The sequence below is a fragment of the Homo sapiens genome, chromosome 12, assembly GCF_000001405.40.
Source record: "Homo sapiens chromosome 12, GRCh38.p14 Primary Assembly".
Classification (NCBI taxonomy): domain Eukaryota; kingdom Metazoa; phylum Chordata; class Mammalia; order Primates; family Hominidae; genus Homo; species Homo sapiens.
Genome location: NC_000012.12, coordinates 77,660,541 through 77,686,723, shown reverse-complemented (window position 1 = coordinate 77,686,723; position 26,183 = coordinate 77,660,541). Strand labels below are relative to the sequence as shown.

Below are 26,183 nucleotides of genomic sequence, written 5' to 3'. Positions count from 1 at the left end.
TCACCATATGCTTATGATCTGAATAAGTTACTTCGGCCATTTGTGCTCAGTTCCCTCATCTATAAATGGGCATAATAATGAAATGAAATAATACATGAAAAGTACTGAGCACCTATGGATGCTGTGTGTCATGGATGCATCATTGATTGAGGCTTAAAATATCCTGACAAATCGAAGTCTGATAAGTCAAATATTACATATATAGGAAAAGTATAAAACAATTTTTTAAACAGAGCCAAACTACGAAACCAACTTTAGAACAAAGCCTCTGTTTTTAAAAAAAAAAAAAAAAAAAAAAAGAAAGAAAGAAAGAAAAGAAAAGAAAAAATCCGGTGGGGCACGGTGGCTCACGTCTGTAATCCTAGCATTCTGGGAGGCTGATGCAAGCAGATCACCTGAGGTCAGGAGTTCAAGACCGGCCTGGTCAACATGGTGAAACCCCGTCTCTACCAAAAATACGAAAACTAGCCAGGTGTGGTGGCCTAGGCCTGTAATCCCAGCTACTCAAGAGGCTGAGGCAGGAGAATTGCTTAAACCCAGGAGGCAGTGGTTGCAGTGAACTGAGATTGCAAAATACATACATACATACATAAATCCATCCCTTAATAATCACTATATCTAGGCTCTGAATATATCAGGACAGTTAAAATCAGGCATGATGGGAGAGGAGGAATTCCACATCTAGAGAGTCAAATCCATCCATTTTATTCCAGTAAAACATCAGCTTTCAAAAACTAGACACTTCTGTTGACAATGTTAAAGAGACACTACTATACTGGCTAAGAATAGCTCTGTGCCTACAGCATATGCATTCAATGCTTTGTCAAAATTTCTAAACACTCTAAATGGCAACGGCATAGTGAGGCAAAATGTATTCATTGTGTTTAAATTTTTCTATTTATAAATTATCATATGTAAGCACAACATTGAAAGCTGTTAATGGAACCCATTAGGCTTAGACACTACACAGGGTAGTTTAATAAATACTAAAACTAATTATTTTTAATGAGGTTTGAAATGGGTTGGCAATGACCTGACAAACAGCCATTCTTACAGTTCTCTGAGGCTTGCTGGGTGGAGATGAGAATCTTCCGGGCTATTCATTTCAAGAAGCTCTTGAAAACGGGAAAATTGGTAATTAGATATGAAAGATAAAAGTGGATAGGAAGCAAAAAGATATAAATGGAATATAAAACCAATGGTGTGCGTGTGGGTATGTGTGTGTGTGTGTGTGTGTGTGTGTGTGTGTGCATGTGTATGCGTTGGGAGTATCTTAAAGATTTGAGCTGGAGAATCTGTCATTGAAGACAGTGAATGAACAAAGAGAGAAATGAAGTTCAGAGTTCTTCACCATGATATGATGCCATTGGAAATGTCGATCAGCAGATGGCGCACATGTCAGGAAACTTGTTTCACTGCACAAAAGAATTGCTCCAAGGCGCTTAGCAAATTTCGTGGCATGTTACACACCGCTTACAGGAAGCCTGGTTAAAAGATTTATGCATATTTATCTGTTTGATTTTTTTCAATAACCCATTCATAAAAATATTTTTCTATGAGAACATAGGAACAATAGTAGGTTTCATGTAAGTACTCAAAGCAACTCATTAAAAGTTTCAGCTTCAGAATCTTAAAAAGGAAGAATGAAATTAGAGGAGCAATCTGACATTAAGATATAGTATAAACATAAAATAATCACGACAGTGTGACATTGGTATTAGGATACATGAATAGACCAATGGAACAGGTTACACAGTCCGTAATGATTCTGACGAAGGTGTCAGCAACAGGGAATTCAATAGTGAAAGGAAAATTTTTTCAAAATATTTTGCTGGGTTAAATATATATCTGTATGGAAAAAAACGGAACCATGATTTATACCTCAGGCCATATGCAAAAATTTAACTCAGGGTAGATTACAGACCTTGGCCAAAATATAAAGTTCAGTGAAGAAAACATAAAAAGAATATCTTGGCAATGAGTTATATAAGATTTTTAGAACAAAAAAAAGGAATCATCAGAAAAAAATTATAATAAATCTGACTTCTTCAAATGTAGTAATTCTGCTCATTAAAACACATCATTAAGAAAATTAAAAGTAGGCTGGGCATGGTGGCTTATGCCTGTAATCCTAGCAATTTGAGGGGCTGAGGCATGAGAATCTCTTGAGGCCAGGAGTTCAAGAACTGCCTGGGCAACACAGTAAGACCCTGTCTCTATAAAAAAATAAAAAAGATAGGAGGTTCACTTGAGCCCAGGATTTGGACACTGCTTGCCACTGGACTCTAGCCTGGACAAGAGAGTAAAACACTGTCAAAAAACAAGAAAGAAAGAGAGAGAGACAGAGAGAAATGAAGAAAGAGGCAAGCCCCACAAACTGAGAAAATATTTATAATACATAAATCATACTTGTATCCATATTATCTAAATAACAACAATAAATAATAATAATAGTTAAAAATGGGCAAAAGACTTGGGCAAACCCTTCAGAAGAGTATATGTGAATGCCAATAAACACATAAAAACATGCTTAACATAGTCATCAGGAAAATGCAGATTAAATCCACAATAAGATTATCACTTCACACTCATTAGAATGGCTAAAATTAAACAGTAATAATGCCTAATGCAGGTCTGAATGCAGATCACTGGGATCACTCAGATATTGCTAGTGGGAGTGTAAAATTGTTCAACATCTGTAGAAAATCATTAAGCAGTTTCTTTTAAAATTATACTTACCTTATGACCCAGCAATTCTACTCCTACATATTTACTGAAAAGAAATAATAAAACATATGTCCCCCAAAATATTATACACAAATGTATGGAGTAACTTTATTCATAATAATCTAAAACTGAAAAAAACTCAAATGTCCATCAGCAGGAGGGGGATATACAACTGTAACATATGCATACAATGGAACAATATTCAAGAAATAAAAAGAAATGAATTTCTGATGCACAGTAAACAAAAGAATCTCAAAAACATTATGCTTAGCAGACTAAGCCAGACATAAAAGCACACCTACTGTGTAACCCATTTTTGCAATGTTTAAGAACAAATAATAATTAAAAATATTGTTTAAAATAATATTGTTAAAATGCCCATATTACCCAAAGCGATCTACAGATTCAGTGCAATCTCTATCAAAATTCCAATGACATTTTTCACGGAAATATAAAAACCAATCCTAAAATTCATACGGAATCACAAAAGATCCCAAATAGCTGAAGCAATCCTAAGCAAAAAGATCAAAGCTGGAGCCATCATATTACCTGACTACCAGTTTTCAAAATCTACTACAGAGCTTGAGTAATCAAAACAGCATGGTACTGGCAAAAAAAAACACATACAAAGACCAATGGAACAAAGTACGGTATCCAGAGATAAAACTATACATTTATGATCAATTAATTTTTGAAAGATGCCAAGAATACTCAATGGAAAAAGACAGTATCTTTAATAAATGGTGCTTGGAAAACTAGAAAACCACATGCAAAAGAATGAAATTAGACCCTCACCTTATACCATACAAAAATATCAACTCAAACTGGATTAAAGAACTCAAATATAAGATCTGAAACTATAAAATTATTGGAAGAAAACATAGAAGAAAAGCTCTATGACATTGGTCTTGACAATATTTTTTGGATATCACCCCAAAAGCACAGGCAACAAAAGCAAAATTACACAAATGGGATTATATCAAACTAAAAGCCTCAGTATAGCAATTGAAACAATCAGCAAAGTAAAGAGACAATCTGCAAAATGGAAGAATATATTTGCAGGTCATAGACTTGATAACAGATTAACATCCAAAATATATTATATAAATAGAAACTCAAACACCTCAACAGCAACAAAACAAATAATACAATTAAAAAAATGTGTGAAGGACCTGAGTACACAGTTTTCCAAATAAGACATACAAATGGCCAACAGACATTTGAAAAAAATACTCAGTATCACTAATGATTAGGAAATTGCAAATCTAAACCACAGTGAAGTATCACTTCACTACTATTAGAATGACTATTATCAAAAAAGGCAAATGATAACAAGTACTGGCAAGAATGTGGAGAAAAGAGAACCTTTGCACATGGTTGGTGTGAATGTACATTAGTACAGCCTCTATGGAAACAGTATATAGGTTCCTCAAAAAACTAAAAATAGAACTACTATATGATCCAGCATTTCTATTACTGGATATATACCCAAAGGAAATGAAATCAGTATGTGGAAGAGATATCTGTCCTCCCATGTCCATTGCAGCATTATTCCTAAAAACCAAGATATGGAATCAACCTAAGTATCCATCAACATATAAACAAATAAAGAAAATGTAATACCTATACACAATGGGATACTATTTAGCCTTTGAAAAGAAGGAAATTCTGTCATTTGTGACAAAGTAGGTGAATCTGGAGGATATTATATTAAGTGGAATAAGCCAGCCACAGAAAGATAAATACCACATGATCTCATTCATATGTAGAATCTAAAAGAGTTGAGCTTATAGAAACAGAGAGTAAAATGGTGGCTACCAGAGGCTGGGGATTGTGGTGGCCAGGGGCGAGGTGGGGGGTGGCAGGGGACCAGGGTGTGGGTTGGTCAAAGAACACAAAATTTTGGTTAGGAGGAATAAGCTCAAGGGATCTATCATCATGGTGACTGCAGTTAATAACAATGAATTCCATCGTTGAAAATTGCTACCAGAGCAGATTTTAAGTGTCCTCACCACAAAAAATTAACATGCAAGATAATGCATGTGTAAATAGCTTGACGATGCCATTGCACAATAGGCAAATATATCAAAACATCATTTTGTACCATAAATGTATACCATTTTTACTTGTCAATTTAAAAAAGGAACAAATGATAACATTCTATAAAGCCAGAAATTAAAGGAGTAATTTCCTCTGGGAGAGAGAGGTATAAATTGGAAAGAGAAATCCTGGTTGATGTTAGTTACATGAGTTTAATACTTTTATAAAAACTCATCAAAGCATACACTTAAGATTTGTGAGTCTTGCTTTTGGAAATTATACCTGAAAAAGGGAGGGAAAATCAGCCATCACAGAACACCTTGTGCCAGAAATTTATTGAAAAAAACAGTTGATTATTAACACTGCACGGTTTGTGGTTCCTTTCTCTCAAACTTCAAATGTTGCTGACATGGAGATGTTTCAACTAGGTGTGATTCTCTTTTAAATTAAATCTGAAAACAGTCATTTTTGTAATAGAGTAACCTTCACCTTACTGAAAATACCTAGTGACTACTGTCATTCGGCTTTGATGCTCTTTTACCATGAACTCACAGGAAACAAAAGGAATATTAAAAAAGACTTCCTGGGAATATTGGAGAATTACTACACACAAAAGATTTGGCATATTTAACATCACCAATATAATTACCTATTACTTGTTTGCCTTTCATCAAGTAGGTATCCAAATCATGTTTTCTGAACTGAATGTTCTTAACATGACTTTTAATTTTATTGCTCACAAGGGAGATGAAGTAAGTTGGAGAACTTACTGAAATTCTGGACTGAAATCTTTTCAAAATTAAAAGATGTAATAGGTTAAAGAGCTTATCGGAGAAGTGATCAAGCTATCTTCAAGCTGCTAACCCTAAAGATAAAAAAATACTAGGCAAATTTAAGTATGTACCAATGACTTCAGAAAAAGTTAAAGATAAGATCCCAGGGCCAGAAATCTAACAAAGAATGACTTCCGCCCCTCCCCCCAAAATCGGATCTCATCATCACAGTCAACTTTATTGAGGAATAAAAGGGAAAACTATTTTAATAGATTCTCATCTCCACTGGATAAAAAATGCTATTGAGTACTCTTTCTTGGTGTCCATATGTGACTCTTCCTTCAGCTTCTACTCCACTTTCGACTCCTGGCATTGGTTCTTGTCTCCTATATGAAACCAAGACTCTCTTTTAACTTTCCATTCTCGTGTGTATAGAGATATTTTTCTTATATTGTGCACCTACTTTGCACATACTATAGAAGAAAAGTTTCCTGAAAATCAATAAAGGGCACAAAGAAGACAGCATTCTTCTTCCTTGCTTGAATTCTGGGCCAACAGAGAAACAGGATAAAAGAATTTGGCAATGAAGTACAAAATACCATCTTTCTTATTGTGAATGCTAACATTGGCGACTGGGCTTAAGTGTGAAAGCTGAATAAGTCTCCTAATATTGAAAACGAAAGCTAGACAGTCTTACTAACCCATTCACAACTCTAACAGAGAAATAGAGAATTCCTGATAGGGAGAAAGGAGAAAAGGTAGCCCATGAATCCACAGTTAAGTAAATGATGCCTCCCTCTTCCCCTAGGCGAAGTGTGGGTGAGGTGGAAAGATGCAAACAGCATTACCCTAATAGATATTCTTTCTTCAAGGGAGGAAAAAAATCAGCATTAGGTTGGGAAAAAAGTACACCTCAATTCCCAGTCCCTTACCCTCCTGCCCATGCCCACATCACTCCCCACAGGCATAAAAGTGTCTGTTCTGAAATTTTATCAGAAGCAAATTCAGACACTGGAACTCTGGATCCTATTCTTCTGTCTGTCCCTCCATCAGTCAATACCCCCTTTCCCTGTGCCTTCTAACTTTCTTCCTCCCTCAGTATAACACCATGCAATCTCTATTGTTCAAAAGTTTCCCTTTCACTTGTGCATCCTCTTATTTCTATAAATCCTCTCTTTTCGTTCTCACTCAGTTCAGCTTATGAAAGGCAAGGACATGACGCGTACCTCCACACTGCCCATTACTTCTGGTTCGATGGTAAGCTGGCCTTCTTCCTACCCACTGATCCACTGACAATACTCTGTCTAAAGTCAGCAGTTGCCTCTGAGTCATCCAAGATTATGGGCATACGGCACTCCTAATCCAACTTGATTTTTCTGGGTCACTTGACACTGTTGATCGCTCTTGCTTCTCAAATGCATCTTGTCTTTTCTGACGCTGTCTTTTCCCACTACTTCTCGCCTCTCAGGCTGCTGTTTCTCAATTTTCTCAGAGTTCATTCTCTTCTTCCACTAGTTGGTGCTCCCCAGTCCCATCTCCAGCCTTCCCTTTTCATACTCTGCATCCTTGCTGAGTAGGCCCTTTCAGCATCCTGGAGTAAACTATCACTTAATAAACAACTCATTGATTTTTTTTTTTAACTGTCCTCTGGGCCTCTCTTTTGAGATCCAGACTTATGTATGTACCCCTGCTACAAGTGAAGCAAACTCAACATGACGAGAAGGGAACAACTCATCTTCCCTTTCATCCCTTTCTATATGTTCCATTTCCGTGAATGGCATCAAACTCTACCCATTCATTTGTAAGTTATCTTAAGGATTCAATCTCTTATCCATCTCCCTCCATCCAGTCAGCACCACATCCTTTTAAACCTTCTCATAATGTCTTCCTATCCTTCGTGTTGTTTCCCCGATAACCTGTTAGTGCCCTAGTAGAGGCCTTCAGTGCCTCTTGCACTATTATGATATTCAAAGGTATCATATTCAAAGGTATATTGCAACTTAACAGAGCTTTAATATAAAGTCCTGAATCGAGGTTAAAAAAAATCCAGAGTTAGTAACCTGCAAATTCAAAATGAGTTAACATTGCATAGTAACTAATGTAGACTATGCCTAAAGTAGACACAGTCGTACTTAAGATGCTTTTGTTCACAAGTAAAATAACACAAATTCAAACTACATTTTTGAAAGTTTTGGAGTTACTTAAAAGATAATGGAATACTTAAAGACTTTCAAAGGATAATGAGATACTTAATCATAAAGTTTCTAGATAAACAGAAGCCAGAAAGCTTTCAGGAACTGGGCACACTCCCTTAATTTCTCCTCTCTTTCCTCTCTGTCCTTCTGTCTTCCTTCTGATCGCTCTGGGATTAGATTTCTCTACTTCTTAGGGTACCATATGGTATAAGATGGCTGAGATAATGCTCCTGAGTTTTTACAGATCTATTAATTCTAACCACATAAAGAGACTGACAAGAATCAAATATATTTTAAAAATCTTGAGAAAGGGGTAAACAGCAGAAACAGCCTTCCTACAATTGAGCTGGTCATTAGAAATTTGAAGCTATGCCAGCAAATGGAACAAGTAAGCACCAGCTAGCATTCCGCAGAAAGTTGAGGAAATTCCTGTAAAGGAAGTAGGGGATTCCTGTGATCCCTTCAAGTCCCCAAAGAGAAAATACTATAAAGATATGATAGAATGACGACCTTGAGTCATTAATAAAAAATTATGCTTAATACATTCTATTTTTGGAATCAGATGCCTGCAAAATCTAAGATTTCCATAGAAACAATAATTTCCATTAAAATACGTTAGTAAACGTTAAAAGTTTAAGTGCTTAAGCTTCAGTTATTTAAAAAAAACAACAGTCAATCCATTCTTCTGGTGATGCTGAATAGGTAAAATATTCTGCTCCAATCCTTTATCAAATAAGATTGGTTATACATTTTTAAAATATAACATTACTGTATTATATATATTGCTTCCTCCTAATGTACCACTTCCATTTGTCCATGTGCTTCATCTGGTTTTACTTAGTGGAATTTGTGTGTACTTCATTTATTTATAAATCTATATTAAATATTAATGCCTTAAAATAGAAGCTAAATTGTCAAACTCCTAAGAGCAAATCAGTGCTAACAAGGCGTAACATCAGAGCCTGCTATCTGTCCTTTAGAAAATCATACTATTTAAGAGTCTTAAAGTTGTAAGAAAAAAATTATTTCAATTTTAATAAATCTGTGAAAAAAAATCTATTTACTATAAGAAAACTAACCAGTGACTAGAAAAATAAAGCAGGCAGTCTCAGCAATGTCTTGAATTTTTAAAAATGACTTTATGTAGCTTTTATTTTTGAACAGCGCAATGTATTTGTTACATTAGTAGGTTGTTTAGACCTAAAAAAATAGTTTGGTTCCAAAACACATTTATTTATGTAGTAGTAACAGCAGCAGCAGCTGCCAACATTCACTGCACGCTTGCTAATTACAAAGCAATGCGCTAATTACTCCATTCACACATCTCATTTTATCTTCTCAGCAATCCCTTTCAGGCACTGGTACATGTCCATTTTACAGATAAGACAATGAAGTTTAGAGTAGTTGAATAACTTGCTTAAGAGCTAGTAAGTGAAGTCAGGATTGGAAGTCAAATTATTCTGTTGAGGACAAGATACATAATTTGCTGGGCTGGCACAAAATGAATATGTGTTGGGACCCTTGTTTAAAAATTAAGAATTTTAAGATGGCAACAACAACCGGGCATTAAACCAAGTGCAGGGCCCTTCTAAGCATATCCATGGAGCCATCCCTACCATCAGGGCACAGAATGTGTGACATTCCATTTTTTCATCTATTTAAGTTATCTTTTTAAAAGAATAAGTTTTTGTAATGGATAAATAGCCAATTATAAACTGAGACCATTTCATATTATTCATGCATTCATTCAGTATTTCATATTATAGGCTGTGCCTAGATATACTAAATCAATATTTGTTGCATAAGTGAATTACTTCTTAGCCTCAAACTGAAACTATCTCTTCAATACTTCATGTTGAAAATACCTCTGGTTAAATGTGGGGATGGGTTAAGAAGAGATAAATGGATCATGAGGAATCAATCCCCACTACTGGTAGATACACTTCATGTTCCTTTGTGCTGGTTTAGGAGTTTTAATGAGTGTGAGAACCATTTTAAAATCTAATTATCATGTCTATCTAGAGTCAACATTTCAATTCTGGGGATCTAAGCAAAGCTTAAAGAATGTTGTGCTCACTTCCCCTTCCTCCTCATACACCTCACCCTTACCCTAACCCTAGGTCCTTAACTTTCCCTCATAAATAGGGTTTTTTTTGGAGGGGAGGGGGCCTTTTCTCCTCAATCCATGCCTGGTGAAGGACAACATGATTGATATTTAAACTGTGCTTTTCAAAAGACTTTAAAGGTTTTAAGCTCCACATGCATTAGGTATTTGTCCTAAAGCTCTCCCTCCCCCTTGCCTAGATGACAGGTTGATAGGTGCAGCAAATCACCCTGGCACATGTATGCCTATGTAACAAACCTGCACATTCTGCACATGTATCCAGAACTTAAAGTAAAATTTTTTAAAAAATTTAAAAAAAAAAAAAGGCTTTAAAGGGGTAGGCTTACCAGCCACACAGGACGAGTTCTGCAAAAAGAAAAGAAAGCCCACTTGTTTCTAACCCTGGGAGATTGGTGGAAGGAAAATAAAAGATAAAAACCACTATAAGACATGCTTGTCAGCTGTGCCAGCAGTGCTAAGGACAGTCCATCATCTGCCTGGAAGAGGCCATGGAGGACACCACCTTGTAAGCCACCCTCTGGATCTAGGGAGTGGCAATATCAAGGTGGAGCACTCCTTTCAGGAAGAGAGAGTAGCCTTAAAGCTAGCACAATGGGGCCTGTTGGTGGGTGGGGGGCAAGGGAAGGGAGAGCATTAGGACAAATACCCAAAGCATGCGGAGCTTAAAACCTAGATGATGGGTTGATAAGTGCAGCAAACCACTATGGCACATGTATACCTATTTAACAAACCTGCACGTTCAGCACATGTATCCTAGAACTTAAAATAAAAAAAAATTTAAAAAAAAAAGCTAGCACTCCAAAGCTGCTTGCTTCCCATGTGAAGTGGATGATGTGATGACAGCCCTTCTGGTGGGTGAGGAACTGTGGAAATTCCCAGGCAGGGCCAAATGCAGTAGAGAGCAGAAATCCAGAGGTCAACATCATTGACCACGGAGGGGAGACTGACAGTACTGGCCAGGATCAAAGTCCAGGACAGAAGGCCATGTGTCAACCAGGTAGATCAGGGCCAGAAACCTATAGTCCACAAACACACAAGGACCAGCACAGGAAGAAGCCTGAGGCCCTCCCAGGACCTCAGATCTCACAAGGCACAACCTTCCCAGAACACTCACCCACTGACAACTGGACACCATCACAGCAGGGGAAGGTGGTTGAGAGGAAGGTGGTCTGAGGAGCACATTTTTATCTAAATGAGAGGCTGATGTTTACCTAAGAGGATTGCCTAAATGTTCAAATTGGAAAAATTTAAATTGCATTGGTGTGATGGTCAGTTTTACATGACAATCTTTCTAGGTGCAGTCTCCAGCTATTCAGTCAAATGGGAATCTAATCTAGGTGTTGCTGTGAAGGTATTTTATGAATATGATTAAAATCCATAATCAGTAGGCTTTAAGTAAGAGAGACTATCCTTGCTATTCCGGGTGGGCCTTTTAGTTGAAAGGTCTTAAAAGCAGAGCTGAAGGAAATTCTGCCTTTGAATAGCAGCTTCAGCTCCTGCTGGAGAGTTCCAGCCTATCCTTGAAAATGTACTCTAAGAACTGTTGACTTGCCTAGCCCGTCCCCACAATCATGTAAGCCAATTCCTTGCAATAAATCTCTTAATATATATCTCCTAACAGTTCTGTTTTTCTGGTTGAAACCTGACTGCTACAACTGAATATTCACAAAGAAGACTGAATTAATAACAAACAATGTAAAATGCTACATTTTTCTTTACTTCTGATTTGTTGCATGAGTTATTTAGTATGTGTAAATAAGCCCTGTGTACCTCAAGGACGTCATTCATGGTCCCTGTCTTTGCCTGAAATGCACTTACCGTATGCTCTATCCTTTCAGTTCTCACCTAAAAATCTACTTCCTTGAGAATACCTTCTTTGACCACCCATCTGTCAATTCAGATCCTGCTGTTAAAGACATGACATTTGTTCTCTCTTGTGGCACTTAGTACAGTTCAAATACAAATACAGAATATTTGTTTGGCACTCAACTTTCTTTTCCTCCAGAGTTTAAGCTCCATGAAGACAGAAGTCAGGTCTGATTTGGTCACCAATATATCTTCACTATCAAGCCTAGAACATATAGTAAGTATTCAATGAATAATAATTGAATGAATGCATGGATATAAATGCATGTGCAACTTAACAAAAACCACTGAGTTTAAAATTGGAGTATAGACTGGGCATGGTGGCTAATGTCTATAATTCAGCACTTTGGGAGGCTGAGGTGGGTGGATTGCATGGGCTCAGGAGTTTGAGGTCACCCTGGGCAATGTGGTGAAACTCCATCTGTATAAAAAATATAAAAATGAGCCACGTGTGGTGGTGCATGCCTGTAGTGCCAGCTACTTGCTACGTGGGAGGCTGAGGTGGGAGGATCACCTGAGCCTGGGAGGTTGAGGCTACAGTGAGCCATGATCGTGCCAATGCACTTCAAGGGCAACAGAGTGAGACCTTATCTCAAAAAAAAAAAAAAGTATAATTTGAAAATATCTCCATTTGGTGTTAGTTGAACTTTAGCTATATCTTCCAAAGAACATGTGGGTAGAATTCAGAATGTGTAATTAAGGGGCAAGAAATCCAAATGTCATTTAGATTTGCCTATGTAGTCAGCCCACTGAATATTACAAACTTCTTTTTAGTTAAGATGACCCAAACCACATGAGCTAAAGATAGCCCAAAGCCAGAGTTGTATGAAGAAAACCTAATAAAATGGTTTGCTATTTTTACATTTATAAAGAAACATTGATATTATGGCTCTGTAAGACAGCAAAATGGCACAACATTTTATAATATTCTTAATAGTATTTTAAGACTCCTTTGGAAATGATGGTTCATTTCATGACCTGGGATATTAGTTTGAAAGTTAAAATTAGGTAATGAGAATTCAGGGAGTTAATATTTTTAACAAAAACATATGCAGTGTATTAAGACTCTGAAGGCTAACCAAATTCTTGTTCATTTGGTTTAAAAAAAAGTTGAATCTAAATATCAATTACCACTTTAAAAAGCAAGAGTTCATTGTGTGTTGATCACAACACAGTAAAAGAAAAATAGATATGCAATAGAACTTATGATTATTATAGGTATTTTACAGTTTATAAAATGAAATATTTTCTATAGAAAATTCTTCCCATAAGAGAAGGGTATGTAACTTCCTCCTCACCTATTTCTTTTTTTAAATGGGTAAATCTTAGGAAAGGTTTGATATCAAACACCATACAAAAGTTCAGGAATAGGTATTTGCTTTCAAATGAACTTGATGTCATTGTGTATCAGATTACTTGGAGGAGTGTTCAAAAAATTATTGCATCTTTCATATTTATCAAAATAAATGTCTTCAATGGCTCAAGGAAGATTTGTTGCTTTAAAATAAATGTAGGAAGTTGAAAATGTGAGTTATACCTTAGATATAATATTAAAAGAAAACCTTAACAGTTATTACTAGTTTTTATTAATGTTTCTCCTTTCAGTGAATAAGAAGAAATTACTATATATACTATAATAAGAAATTGCTATTATGTTCATTAATCTCTGTTGAATCATTCATGTGAGACGCTGAGTATGAATCTCTTGCAATGCAACCTGATCATAAAAGAGGACATTTTAAATGTAACATATGTGTGAATAGTAAAGCCAAATTCATTGTTAATGGAGTTTTGAGAGAAACACTCAGCAAAAAAAGATGAGCAAAAAAGGCTGATATTTCCACAAGTTTATATCCCTGGTGTAATGTTTAGGTGTGAACATTTTTAAAAAGTAAAAATGTATATAGCAAAATACACTTGATTACCTCTAAATATGAACAGACATACAAGTAATAACTACTTTCTACAACACTAAGAATTCTGAATGTACAAATACATATCACGAAAAAAGTGGAGAAAAATAACAAAAAGAACAAAAGGCAAACATTTCCTTTGGAAGCCCTTAGTTGTTATTTTCCTCATCTCTTACTATCCTTCAAAATAGTCATATAGTTTTAAAATCAATTTTACACTAACTAAAACTAGTAGCTCCTTTCCCACAATTTTATTTTTTTTAATTTCTTTTTTATTTCAATAAGTTTTTAGGGAACAGGTTCTTTAGTCGTGATTTCTGAGATTTTGGTGCACCTGTCACCTGAACAGTGTACACTATACCCAATGTATAGTCATTTATCCCTCACCCCACTCCCACCCTTTCCCCTGAGTCCTCAAAGTCCAATGTATCATTCTTATGCTTGTGTGTCCTCATAGCTTATACATATACATACATATGTATATGTGTACGCACCATGGAATACTACTCAGCCATATATACACACACACACACATACACACACACTTATCACCTTTTCTTTATCCACTCGTTGATGGATGGGCATTTGGGTTGGTTTCACATTCTTGTAATTGCAAGTTGTGCTGCTGTAAGCATGCGTGTGCAAGTATCCTTTTCATATAGTGACTTATTTTCCTCTGGGTAGATATCTACCTAGTAGTGGGATTGTTGGACCAAATGGTAGATCTACTTTTAGTTATTTAAGGAATCTCCACACTATTTTCCGTAATGGTTTTACTAGTTTCCATTCCCTCCAACGGTGTAAAAGTGTTCTCTTTTCACCACATCCATGCAAACATCTATTTTTTTATTATTTTTTGCTTATGACCATGCTTGCAGGCCGCAGTGTGGTTTTGATTTGCATTTCCCTGATCGTTAGTGATGTTGAGCATTTTTCATATGCTTGTTGGCCATTTGTATATCTTCTTTTAAGAATTGTCTATTCATGTCCTTAGCCCATTTTTTGATGGGATTGCTTGTTTGTTTCTTGCTGATTTGTTTGAGTTCTTTGTAGCTTCTGGATATTGGTCTTTTGTCGGAGGCATAGATTGTGAAGATTTTCTCCCACTCTGTGGGTTGTCTGTTAACTCTACTGATTGTTTATTTTGCTGTGCAGAAGCTTTTTAGTTTAAGTTCTATCTATTTATCTTTGTTTTTGTTGCATTTGCTTTTGGGTTCTTGGGTCATTAAGTCTTTGCCTAAGCCAGTATCTAGAAGGGTTTTTCTGACGTTATCTTCCAGAATTTTTATGATTTCATGCCTTAGATTTAAGTCTGATCCATCTTGAGTCAATTTTTGTATAAGCTGAGAGATGAAAATCCAGTATCATTCTCTACATGTGGCTTGCCAATTATCCCATCATTTGTCGAATAGGGTGTCCTTTCCCCACTCTGCGTTTTTGTTTGCTTTATCAAAGATCAGTTGGCTGTAAGTATTTGGTTTTATTTCTGGAATCGCTACTCTGTTCCCTTAGTCTAGGTGCCTATTTTTATACCAGTATCATGCTGTTTTGGTGACCACGGCATTATAGTATAGTTTGAAGTCAGGTAATATGATGCCTCCAGATTTATTATTTTTGCTTAGTCTTGCTTTGGCTATGAAAACTCCTTTTAGGTTCCATATGAATTTTAGGATCATTTTTTTCTAGTTTCTTAAAGAATGATGGTGGTATTTTGATGGGAATTGCATTGAATTTGTAGATTGCTTTTGGCAATATGGCCATTTTCAATTTGTTTGTGTCATCTATGAGTTCTTCCAGCAGGGTTTTCCTTGTAGAGGTCTTTCACCTCCTTTGTTAGGTATAGTCCTAAGTATTTTGTTTTTGTTTTTGTTTCTTGTTTTTTGTTTGTTTGCAGCCCTTGTAAAAGGTGTTGAGTTCCTTATTTGATTCTCAGTTTGGTCACTGTTGGTGTATAGTGGAGCTATGATTTGTATACATGAATTTTGTATCCTGAAACTTTGCTGAATTCATTTACCGGTTCTGGGAGCTTTCTGGATGAGTCTTTAGAGTTTTCCAGGTATATGATCATATCATCAGCAAATGGCAACAGTTTGACTTCCTCTTTACTTATCTGGATGTCCTTTATTTCTTTCTCTTATCTGATTGCTCTGGCTAGGACTTCCAGTACTGTGTTGAATACAAGTGGTGAAAGTACCCATCCTCGTCTTGTTCCACTTCTTAGGGAGAATGCTTTCAACTTTTTCCCATTCAGTATAATGTTGTCTGTGGGTTTGTCACGGATGGCATTTATTACCCTAAGGTTTGCCCCTTCTATGCCAATTTTGCTGATGGTTTTAATCATAATGGGATGCTGGATTTTGTCAAATGCTTTTTCTGCATCTATTGAGAAGATCGTCTGATTTTTGTTTTTAATTCTGCTTAAGCGGTGTATCACATTTATTGACTTATGTATGTTAAAACATCCCTGCATCCCTAGTATGAAACCCAGTTGATCATGGTGGATTATCCTTTTGATATGCTGTTAGATTTGGTTTGCTAGTATTTTGTTGAGGATTTTTGCATCTATGTTCATAGGGAATATTGGTTTGCAGTTTTCTTTTTTTGCTGTCTTTCCCTAGTTTTGGTACTAGAGTGATACTGGCTTCATAAAATGATGTAGGGAGGATTCCCACTTTATCTTGTGGAATAGTGTCAATAGGATTGGAACCAGTCTCCTTTGAATGTCTGATAGAATTCAGCTGTAAATCCATCTAGTTCTGGGCTTTTTTGGTTGGTAATTTTTTAATTACCATTTCAATCTTGGTGCTTGTTATTGGTCTGTTCAGAGTTTCTATATCTTTCTGGTTTAACCTTGGAGGATGGTATACATCCAGGAATTTATTCATCTCCTCTAGGTTTTCTAGGTTATGCATGTAAAGGTGTTCACAATAGCCTTGAATAATCTTTTGTATTTCTGTGGTATCAATTGTAATATCTCCCGTTTTGTTTCCCATTGAGCTTATTTGGATATTCTCTCTTCCTGTTTAACCTCAAGAATGGTCTATCAATTTTATTTACCTTTTGAAAGAACCAGCTTTTTGTTTCATTTATCTTTTGTATTTTTTTTGTTTGTTTCAATTTCATTTAATTCTGCTCTGATCTTCGTTCTTTTCTTCTGCTGGCTTTGGGTTTGGATTGTTCTTGAATAGAATGTATATTCTGCAGTTGTTGGGTAGAATGTTCATTAAATATTTGTTAAGTCCATTTGTTGTATAGTTTAAGTCCACTGTTTCTTTGTTGACTTTCTGTCTGGATGACATGTCTACTGCTGTCAATAGAGTATTAAAGTCCCCTACTATTATTGTTTGCCATTTATCTTACTTCTTAGGTCTAGTAGTAATTGTTTTATACAGTTGGGAGCTCTAGTGTTAGGTGCATATATATTTAGGATTGTGATATTTTCCTGTTGTACTAGTCTTTTATCATTATAAAACATCCCTCTTTGTCTTTTTTAACTGCTGTTCCTTTAAAGTTTGTTTTGTCTGATATAAGAATAGCTATTCCTGCTTGCATTTGGTGTCCATTTGCATGGAATACCTTTTTCTGCCCCTTTACCTTAAGTTTATGTGAGTCCTGATGTGTCAGGTGAGTCTCCTGAAGACAGCAGAAACTTGGTTGTTGAATTCTTATCCACTCTGTCTTTCTGTATCTTTTAAGTGGAGCATTTAAGCCACTTACATTCAATGTTAGTATGGAGATGTGAGGTACTATTCTATTCATCGTGCTATTTGTTGCCTGAATACGTTGTTTTTTTCTTCATTGTGTTGTTACTTAGGCCCTGTGAGATTTATGCTTTAAGGAGGTCCGATTTTGGTGTATTTTGAGGATTTGTTTCAAGATTTAGAGCTCCTTTTAGCAGTTCTTGTAGTGCTGTCTTGGTAATGGCAAATTCTTTCAGCATTTGTTTTGGAAAAGACTATCTTTCCCTTCATTTGGAAAAGACTGTAATTTTCCTTCATTTGGGAAACACGGTATCTTTTCTTCATTTACGAAACTTAGATTTGCTGGATACAAAATTCTTGGCTGATAATTGTTTCGTTTAAGGAGGATAAAAATAGGACCCCATTCCCTTCTAGCTTGTAGGGTTTCTTTTGAGAAATCTGCTGTTAATCTGATGGGTTTTCCTTTATAGGTTACCTGATACTTTTGCCTCACACCTCTTAAGATTCTTTCCTTCATCTTGACTTTAGATAACCTGATGACTATGTGTGTAGGCAATGATCTTTTTGTAATGAATTTCCCAGGTGGTTCTTTGAGCTTCTTGTACTGGACATCTAGATCTCTAGCAAGGCCAAGGACGACGTTTTCCTCCATTATTCTCTAAAATATGTTTTCCAAAGTTTTAGATTTCTCTTTTTCTTCAAGAACACCAATTATTCTTAGGTTTGGACAATAATATAGTCCTATACTTCTTGGAGGCTTTACTCATCTTTTATTATTATTCTTTATTCTTTTTTCTTTGTCTTTGATGGATTGGGTTAATTCAAAAGCCTTGTCTTTGAGCTCCAAAGTTCTTTCTTCTTGTTGTTCAATTCTATTGCTGAGACTTTTCAGTGCATTTTGCATTTCTCTAAGTGTGTCCTTGATTTCTAGAAGTTGTGAACATTTTTTATTTATGCTATTTATTTCACTGAAGATTTTTCCTTTCATATCCTGTATTATGTTTTTAATTTTTTTTAAGTTGGACTTCACGTTTCTCTGGTGCCTCCTTGATTAGCTTAATAGTCGACCATCTGAATTCTTTTTCTGGCAATTCAGAGATTTCATCTTGGTTTGGATCCGTTGCTGATAAGCTGATGTGATCTTTTGGGGGTAATCAAGAACTTTGTTTGGTCATATTACTAGAATGTTTTTCTGGGTCCATCTCATTTGGGTAGACTAGGTCAGATCCAGAACTCAAGGGCTGCTGTTCAGATTCTTTTGTCCCATGGGATGCTCCCTTGATGTGGTGGTCTCCCCTTTCCCCTAGAAATAGGGCTTCCTGAGAGCCAAACTGCAGCAACTGTTTTTGCTCTCTGGGTCTAGCCACCCAGTGGAGCTACCAGGTGGTACTGGGGAGTGTCTGCAAAGAACGCTGTGATGTGATCTGTCTTCAGGTCTTTCAGCCATGGATACCAGCACCTGCTCTGGTGGAGGTAGCAGGGGAGTGAAGAAGACTCTGTGAGTCTTGGTTGTATTTCTGTTTAGTGCACCAGTTTTGTGTTGGTTGGCCTCCAGACAGAAGGTGGTGCTTTCAAGAGTGCATCAGCTGTGGTTGTACAGGGAGGATGCAGATTTGCCCTAGGGGTGCCTGGTTTAGTATTCAGGTTTCTCAAGTGGTGGACAGGGCCATAGAGCTACCAAGAGATTATATCCTTTGTCTTCAGCTACCAGAGTGGGTAGAGAAAGACTACCAGGTTGGGGCAGGGATGGGTATGTCTGAGCTCAGAGTCTCCCTGGGTGAGGCTTGCCGTGTGACTACTGTGGGGGATGGGATTGTGGTTCCCAAGCCAATGGACTTATGTTCCCAGTGGTATTATGGCTGCCTCTGCTGAGTCATACAGGTCCCCAGGGAAGTGGGGGGAAGCCACAAGTCACAGGCCTCACCCCACTTCCATACAGCCAGCAGTCATAAAGGCTGGTCTTACTCCCGCCATGCCCGACCAACAGCATGGAGTCTATTTCCAGGCAGCCTGTGACCAGGGCTGAGAACTTGCCCCAGACCACCACCTGAGAAAGCAAGCTGACTCAGTTTTTTGGCATCTCAGGGAGCCTGCGGCAGCAATCCAGTTCCTTCAAAGGGTCTGTGGATTCTCTCGCCTTTCCTGGTATGTTCCTGCGGTATTTCTTGGAGCAAAAGTTCATGATGTGAGTCTTCACATGCTACTCTGTCTGTCTGAGCAGGAGCTGCAAGCTAGTCCTGCCTCCTACTCGCCATCTTAATCTCTACAACTCCATCTCCTGCAAAAGTTTTTGCATTCAGACTTTACGTTCTGCATAATTAGGAATGTACAATTAGAAATGTATTCTTCGGATTTGGACATGGGACTGATAAATCTAAAAAAAGTATACACATACACACACTCCATTTTAGTTCATAAAATTTGTAACAAATGTCTCATTTATAAGATAGCCTTATTTTAAGGTAGCCATTAAATGTTTTGACTTAGTTATGAAATTAAATATGAAACATCCATAAAATCTACTTCCAAAAGAAAGCCATTGTTACCCAACACGACAAGCAGCAGATAGAAAATACTCAATAGAAGTATGATTAATCAAATCAACCTTAAAAGAAAAACTTTGAAACAAATTTTCTCCTCCTATCTGATGTGAATATCAAAGAAAAATTCTAGATTAAATAAAATGCTAATCTGGATAGTGTAAATCTCAAAGAAGCACAATACATCCCTTTAAATAAGAGGATTTAATTCCTAATTCAATTTAATACCTTGAGCAGAATATTTAGACTTACTTAGCACAAGCCAATTGCTTTACAATCTTTGAATTTATTCTCAGAATGCGTTAAATTAAATCTGCCATTTTCTTGTGGAGTATTCTTTTTTTTTCTAATAGATAAACTTTGCAACATTTGGCTTTTTATTTAATAGACATTAGATTAAATAGCGTCTCTCTTCATATGATTCAAGTAATCTGATTTTTGTTTGTAGTCTAGCCATTATAAATTCATTCATTCATTCTATGAGTATCTGTTGCATGTCTACTATGTACAAGGCATTTGGTTTCAAAATGAGAAGTTACTGAAACACAAGTTAATGAAATCAAGATCTACTGTTTGGCCAATAATTAGAAGAGATATTATTAATGAGTGATTTGAAAGACTCAGTAGAGAGACCCCTGACTAGACAAAAAAAAAAAAAAAAAAACTGTAAACATGTTGCTATTGGAAGCAATTAGGGTATGTCTACATGAGTATACCTGAAAGAGTGGAAGATGGAATTTTATAAAAACAGAAGAGATTAGAAGAAATTTTACATATAAATTATGATTAACAGATAATAAACTAATTAAAGTCATAATTACATAGGTTTCTCATTTTTGCAATCTGTCAAAAAGAGTTTATCCTAGGCACTAGATAATTTTGAGTAAATGAATTAAAGCGAAATGTGTAAAGATTTTGAGATGTCACACAATGTGTACTTTTTCCTCATTTGAAAAATTACCAAAATAACATTTCTTTTGTGATTCCAGGCAAACTATATTAACTTGAAGTGGAATGGTTAGGATCAGCAGCTATAAATTCAGAGAGACTGACAGGGATCACAGTGTGCCCTCTTTGAGTAATTACTGACTGAGCCTCAGTTGCTTCAACTATAAATAGGAATTAGAAATAATCATGTATACTTCTAGTGTTTTTATGAGAATGAATGAAATGATGCTTTAAGCCTGGTATAAAGTAGATGTTTAATAGTTTATATTTATAACTCAAAAAAATCATATCAGATTTTAAAGACATTATGAGATCTCCTCAGTCCTTATCTTCCCAAGATACGGGAAGTTTTTACTGATAAAAGAGACTTTCTCACAACTTTCTAACAAAAGAGAATAAATATTATCTTCACATAAAAATATTTTTTGGAAAGCATAACTTTTTAAAAAGTATTAATTCTTATACAAAAATTAACATGAAATAAAACCATAAGGCCCTCATGTGAAAGAGAAAAGGAAATAAGAATTCTGTGATGCTGGCTAAATATAATTATGGAGTTTTTATAATTTTCCTTGGTTTACATGGAAGTATTAGAATTGGGTTTCCTAAAGAAGTGAGTTTAATAATATAGATATGTCCTTGACTGAGCTTAGGGGATCAAGTAATTCAGTCAAACTGTAAACACAATTTTATTTGCATATGCACCTACATGCTTTTTTCAGATGAAAAGTTCCAGGGGTTTATAAACTACAAAAGGTCAAGTATCCCCACTCCAAAAGTGTTGATATAAATTACAACTCTTTAGTGAGGAACAATGAAGTAGCACAAACTTGTTTACATAACTTTCATCAATATTTATTTTTAGCCAGGCGAGGGGGTGTGCACCTGCAGTCCCAGCTACTTGGGAGGCTGAGGCAGGAATAGCCACTGCAACTCCAGCCTGGACAACATCACAAGACCTTGTCTCTTAGAAAATAAATAAACAAATAAGTAAAATAAAAATCTGTGTTTACTGTACAAAAATAATGTGTTGTCACAGAAGAATCTATTACATGCAGATTAAGATTTTAGAGTGTTTTCTCTTTTTTGTTTTTTAATCTGAACAAATATGAATAAATTGAAGGTCAGGTTTTCTTGGTTTCTTTCATTTTTTAATCTGAACAAATATAAATAAATCAAAGTGGGGTTAAGATACTACATTTTAACTGACAAGTTTGAACAAAGATTTATTGACTAATACAGCACTTAACTTTTGAAGTTCAACAGAATTCATGACTTAGGAGTTATAATAGAACTGTAAGTGTAAACCTTATCATCTGTGACTTTAGCAGAGTACTATTAAAATAATATATTTTCCCTAGAACATGTTTGTCATTATTAATGATACTGTCAAATTATCGACTACTTTAACATAATTACAAGTGCACATTAAAAGTGTCAAAAAGAAAAAGTATTTAAATATCCTTAAGCATTGTGAGGCAGCACTGGATACCAACCTATTGAATATTTAGCCAACTCTTCCAGGAAATAAAATTAATAATACATTAAGCAGTACCTCATTCTTCATTGAATATCACAATTATTTGGTGCAGGACTAGAAAACTGTTCTGATATATAAGTAGGAAGATTTTCATGGATATTTAAAGGAATTATTTTCAGTTCTTATTGTATTGCTAAAATAATTTAGATCCAAACATCTCCATTAAATATTAATAATATTATTAGCTATTTCATGTAAGTATTTCACCATTGGCACATGCCAAAACCTGAATAATTTCATAATTTTTAATTTTGGTTAATGTCATGTTTACCATCGTGTTATGGTCACCAAACTGTACCATGCTAAAGGGTTAATATGTAGAAATGTTTTACATGACATTGACTATGACAAAGACTACACCAGGACTTTTCAATCAGGTTTAATAATAATGGTAAAAATATATTGATTGCTTATTATACGCCAGGGACTATTGTTCAAAACAATATGTACACATATATATCTACATATAACTATATACATAGATATACAGACACATATATTGGCTCACTCATGCTCACTTAAAAGAAATACTGCTGGCTGGGAGTGGTGGCTCACGCCTGTAATCCCAGCACTTTGAAAGGCCAAGGCGGGCGAATTACCTGAGATCAGGAGTTCGAGACCAGCCTGACCAACATGGAGAAAACTGGTCTCTACTAAAAATACAAAATTAGCTGGGCATGGTGGTGCAGGCCTGTAATTCCAGCTACTTGGGAGGCTGAGGCAGAAGAATTGCTTGAACTTGAGAGGCCAAGGCTGCAGTGAGCCGAGATCGCGCCATTGCGCTCCAGCCTGGGCAACAAGAGCAAAACTCTGTCTCAAAAAAAAAAAAAAAAGAAGAAGAAGAAGAAAGAAATACTGCTTTATATGTAGTATAAGCCTCACTCATAGTCGAAAAAGTTAGCTTTGCAGGTTATATCTTTTTGTTTGTATGTTTCTTTTGTGAATATTTTTTTCTTTGTGTCCTTAGTTTCCAACTGAGGCACTCAGTGTCAGAACTGACAAATTGAAAACTCCATAAACCTGTTTTTGACTTAAAAAGCGAGGGATGTTTTCATATACCTCACATAGTAGTCAGAATATGATGTATGTTTATCACTATATCAGTTATTACTGTGGGGAAAACAGGCATTTGTATTTTATGTAGTTAAAAATCTTAATTCAAAAATTATTTAAGAAAAAATATTCTCCTAGTTAAGTGTGAGATGTCTAAAATGACTCTGATTGTTAGTTTCACAAAAACGATAATAAAAAAGATTTGTGCTTAATGTATTCTTAAAGACTGTAATTTACAACATTTAAGTGAAAATTAAATAGATGTATTATTGTTGTAAATTACAAATTATGCAATAAACATAATAAGGCATAAGCATTTTTCTTTAATGAAATCAAAGCCTGACAGTAAGAAATGCATCCTTAATGCACTTAGCATTGATCACATACTCACTTAAATACTCATCCTCTGGGGAAAAAACGGAAAAGGTGAATTTTATCATCAACATGCTCTTGGATAAAACAAATCTATTAATATTTAATTGTCAATTTCTGTGTTCTTTTTTTTCTGCACATTGTCTAAGTAGCCTAGGAATGGTATTTAAAGCATGAAACATTTACAATTTTAGTCCTCAGGAAATGTAAATATATAATCATCAAACCTATGTGTAAAGTCTCATTTTTATAAAGTTAAAATACATATTAATCATAGTTAGGAAAAGCATAATACTCTGGAGAAATTTACGCAAAAATCCATTCTCTCACCCAACAAGCATTTATTAAACAAGTACTAGGCACAGGTATCTGTTTCCCAGTAGCATATAGTCTGTTTCTGGGAGAATTTCAGAATTAGACTTTTTTTTTAGTCCTATGGGATTTACAAAAAAGTTACTAATAAATACAGCAAGTTTACAAGATCAATATACAAAAATGAATTGTATTTCTATATACTTTGAATAATCTGAGAATGTAATTAAGAAACAACTTATAATTTAAAAGGGTAAAATAGTTCAGAATAAATTTAACAGAAGTGTAAGACGCATAAACCGAAAATTATAAAGCACTGCTGAGAGAAAGTAAAGATCTAAAATAAGGTGAGATATAGATAGATAGATAGATAGATAGATAGATAGATAGACAGATAGATATGAAGATATATAATAAGGTGAGATATGCCATTTTCATGGATTTTAATCGATTCAAGACTCAATATCGTTAAGATGTCATTCTCCTCAGGTTGATCTACAAATTCAACAGAATCTCTGTCAAAATCCCAGCAAAAATTATTGTAAAAATTAATAAGCTAATTCTAAATTTTATATGGAATGACAAAAACCTAGAATAGTTAAAATAATTTTGAAAAAGAAAGTCAAAGGTGGAGGATTTTAAAATTTAATATAAAGTTACAGTAATCAAGTAACAATGTGCAATTTTTATAAAGACAATGTGCAATTTTTATAATTTTGTTCTATGTACATGTACAACAAAATACAAAATCTAGAAATATATTCACATTTTATAAACTGTTTTTTATAAAGGTGCAAGGCAACTCAATGAGAACAAGGAATGCCTTTTCAATAAATAATATTGGGATGATTGGATAGCTGTATGAAAAAAGCACTTAGAATGTAGTCTCACACCATGTACCAAAAAAGAACTTCAAAATAGATTATATTTCTAAAGGTAAAAGCTAAGATTATAAACATCCAGAAGAAATAGGAGAAAATTTGGGGGGCCTGGCATTAAGCAAAGATTTCTTAGATATTATACCAAAGGCATGATCCATCAAAGAAACAAATGGTTAAACTGAACTTCAGCAAAATTATAAACCTATGTCTAAATGCCATTAAGAAAGTGAAAAGACAAGCCACAGAGTGAGTGAAAACACTGGCAACTCATATATCTAATAAAGCTCTTCTGTCTACAATATATCAATAACTCTTTCAACTCAATTCAAAATGGCAAAATATCTGAGCATATATCTTATTGAAGACAGTATATAAATGACTAGTGCAAAAAAACATTTTCAACATCATTAGTCATTATGAAATATAAATTAAAACCAAAATTAAGATACCACTACACACACTAGAATGACTAAAATAAAGAGACTGACAAACTGAAGCTGTTGAGGGTATGCAAAATTAGAACTCTCAGACATGGCTGGCGGGAATGTAAAACGGTACGTCCACAATGAAAAACAGTTTTCCAGTTATTCAAAAAGTTAAATACAAACTTAGCATTCTAGTCAACAATCTCTCTCCAGAAAAAATTAAAACATATATTTTAGACACATTTAAAGCCTTGAAGGTGAGTATTTATGGCAGCATTATTCATAAGAGCTTTAAACTGGAAACATTTCAAATGACCATCAGCTGGTGAATGGATAAACAAAATGGTATATCCAGACAATGGAATACTATTCAGCAATAAAAAGAAATGAACTACGGCTCATGCAACAACATGGATGAGGCTTTATAATATTACACTGAGCGTAACAAGTCATGCAAAAAACTGTGTATTGTATGATTTCATTTTACAATATTTATAGGAAAGGCAAAACTATAGAGACAAAGCTAGTTCCATGGTTGGTTGGGATGGAAACAATAAATGACTCTCAAACAGGCACAGAGAAACTTTTGGTGAAGGTGGATACATTCTAAAATTAGACTAAAGTAATGGTATACATATATACATACTTATACCTAAACATGTCTGTATATATGCACGTATATAATATACATACATATATATGCATACAATCATACCTGTTTCCTCAAAATTATTAACTTGTAAACTAATAATAGTGAATTTTGTGGTTTATA

The 26,183-nt window shown here is 35.2% G+C and overlaps 1 protein-coding gene across 7 annotated transcripts in view, besides 2 other annotated features; it reads right to left on the bottom strand.

The window, feature by feature from the left end:
* The window catches only part of NAV3 (neuron navigator 3), a 641,149-nt gene that overhangs the window by 526,287 nt on the left and 88,679 nt on the right, over positions 1-26,183 (bottom strand). The window lies entirely within an intron of this gene.
* Positions 7,961-8,255: a silencer, noted in NCBI's record as "tiled region #15641; HepG2 Repressive non-DNase unmatched - State 24:Quies". NCBI's record gives its function as "represses a minimal TATA promoter and a strong SV40 promoter by Sharpr-MPRA in HepG2 cells {active_cell/tissue: HepG2}" and the evidence as "EXISTENCE:reporter gene assay evidence [ECO:0000049][PMID:27701403]".
* Positions 19,281-19,575: a silencer, noted in NCBI's record as "tiled region #9790; K562 Repressive non-DNase unmatched - State 24:Quies". NCBI's record gives its function as "represses a minimal TATA promoter and a strong SV40 promoter by Sharpr-MPRA in K562 cells {active_cell/tissue: K562}" and the evidence as "EXISTENCE:reporter gene assay evidence [ECO:0000049][PMID:27701403]".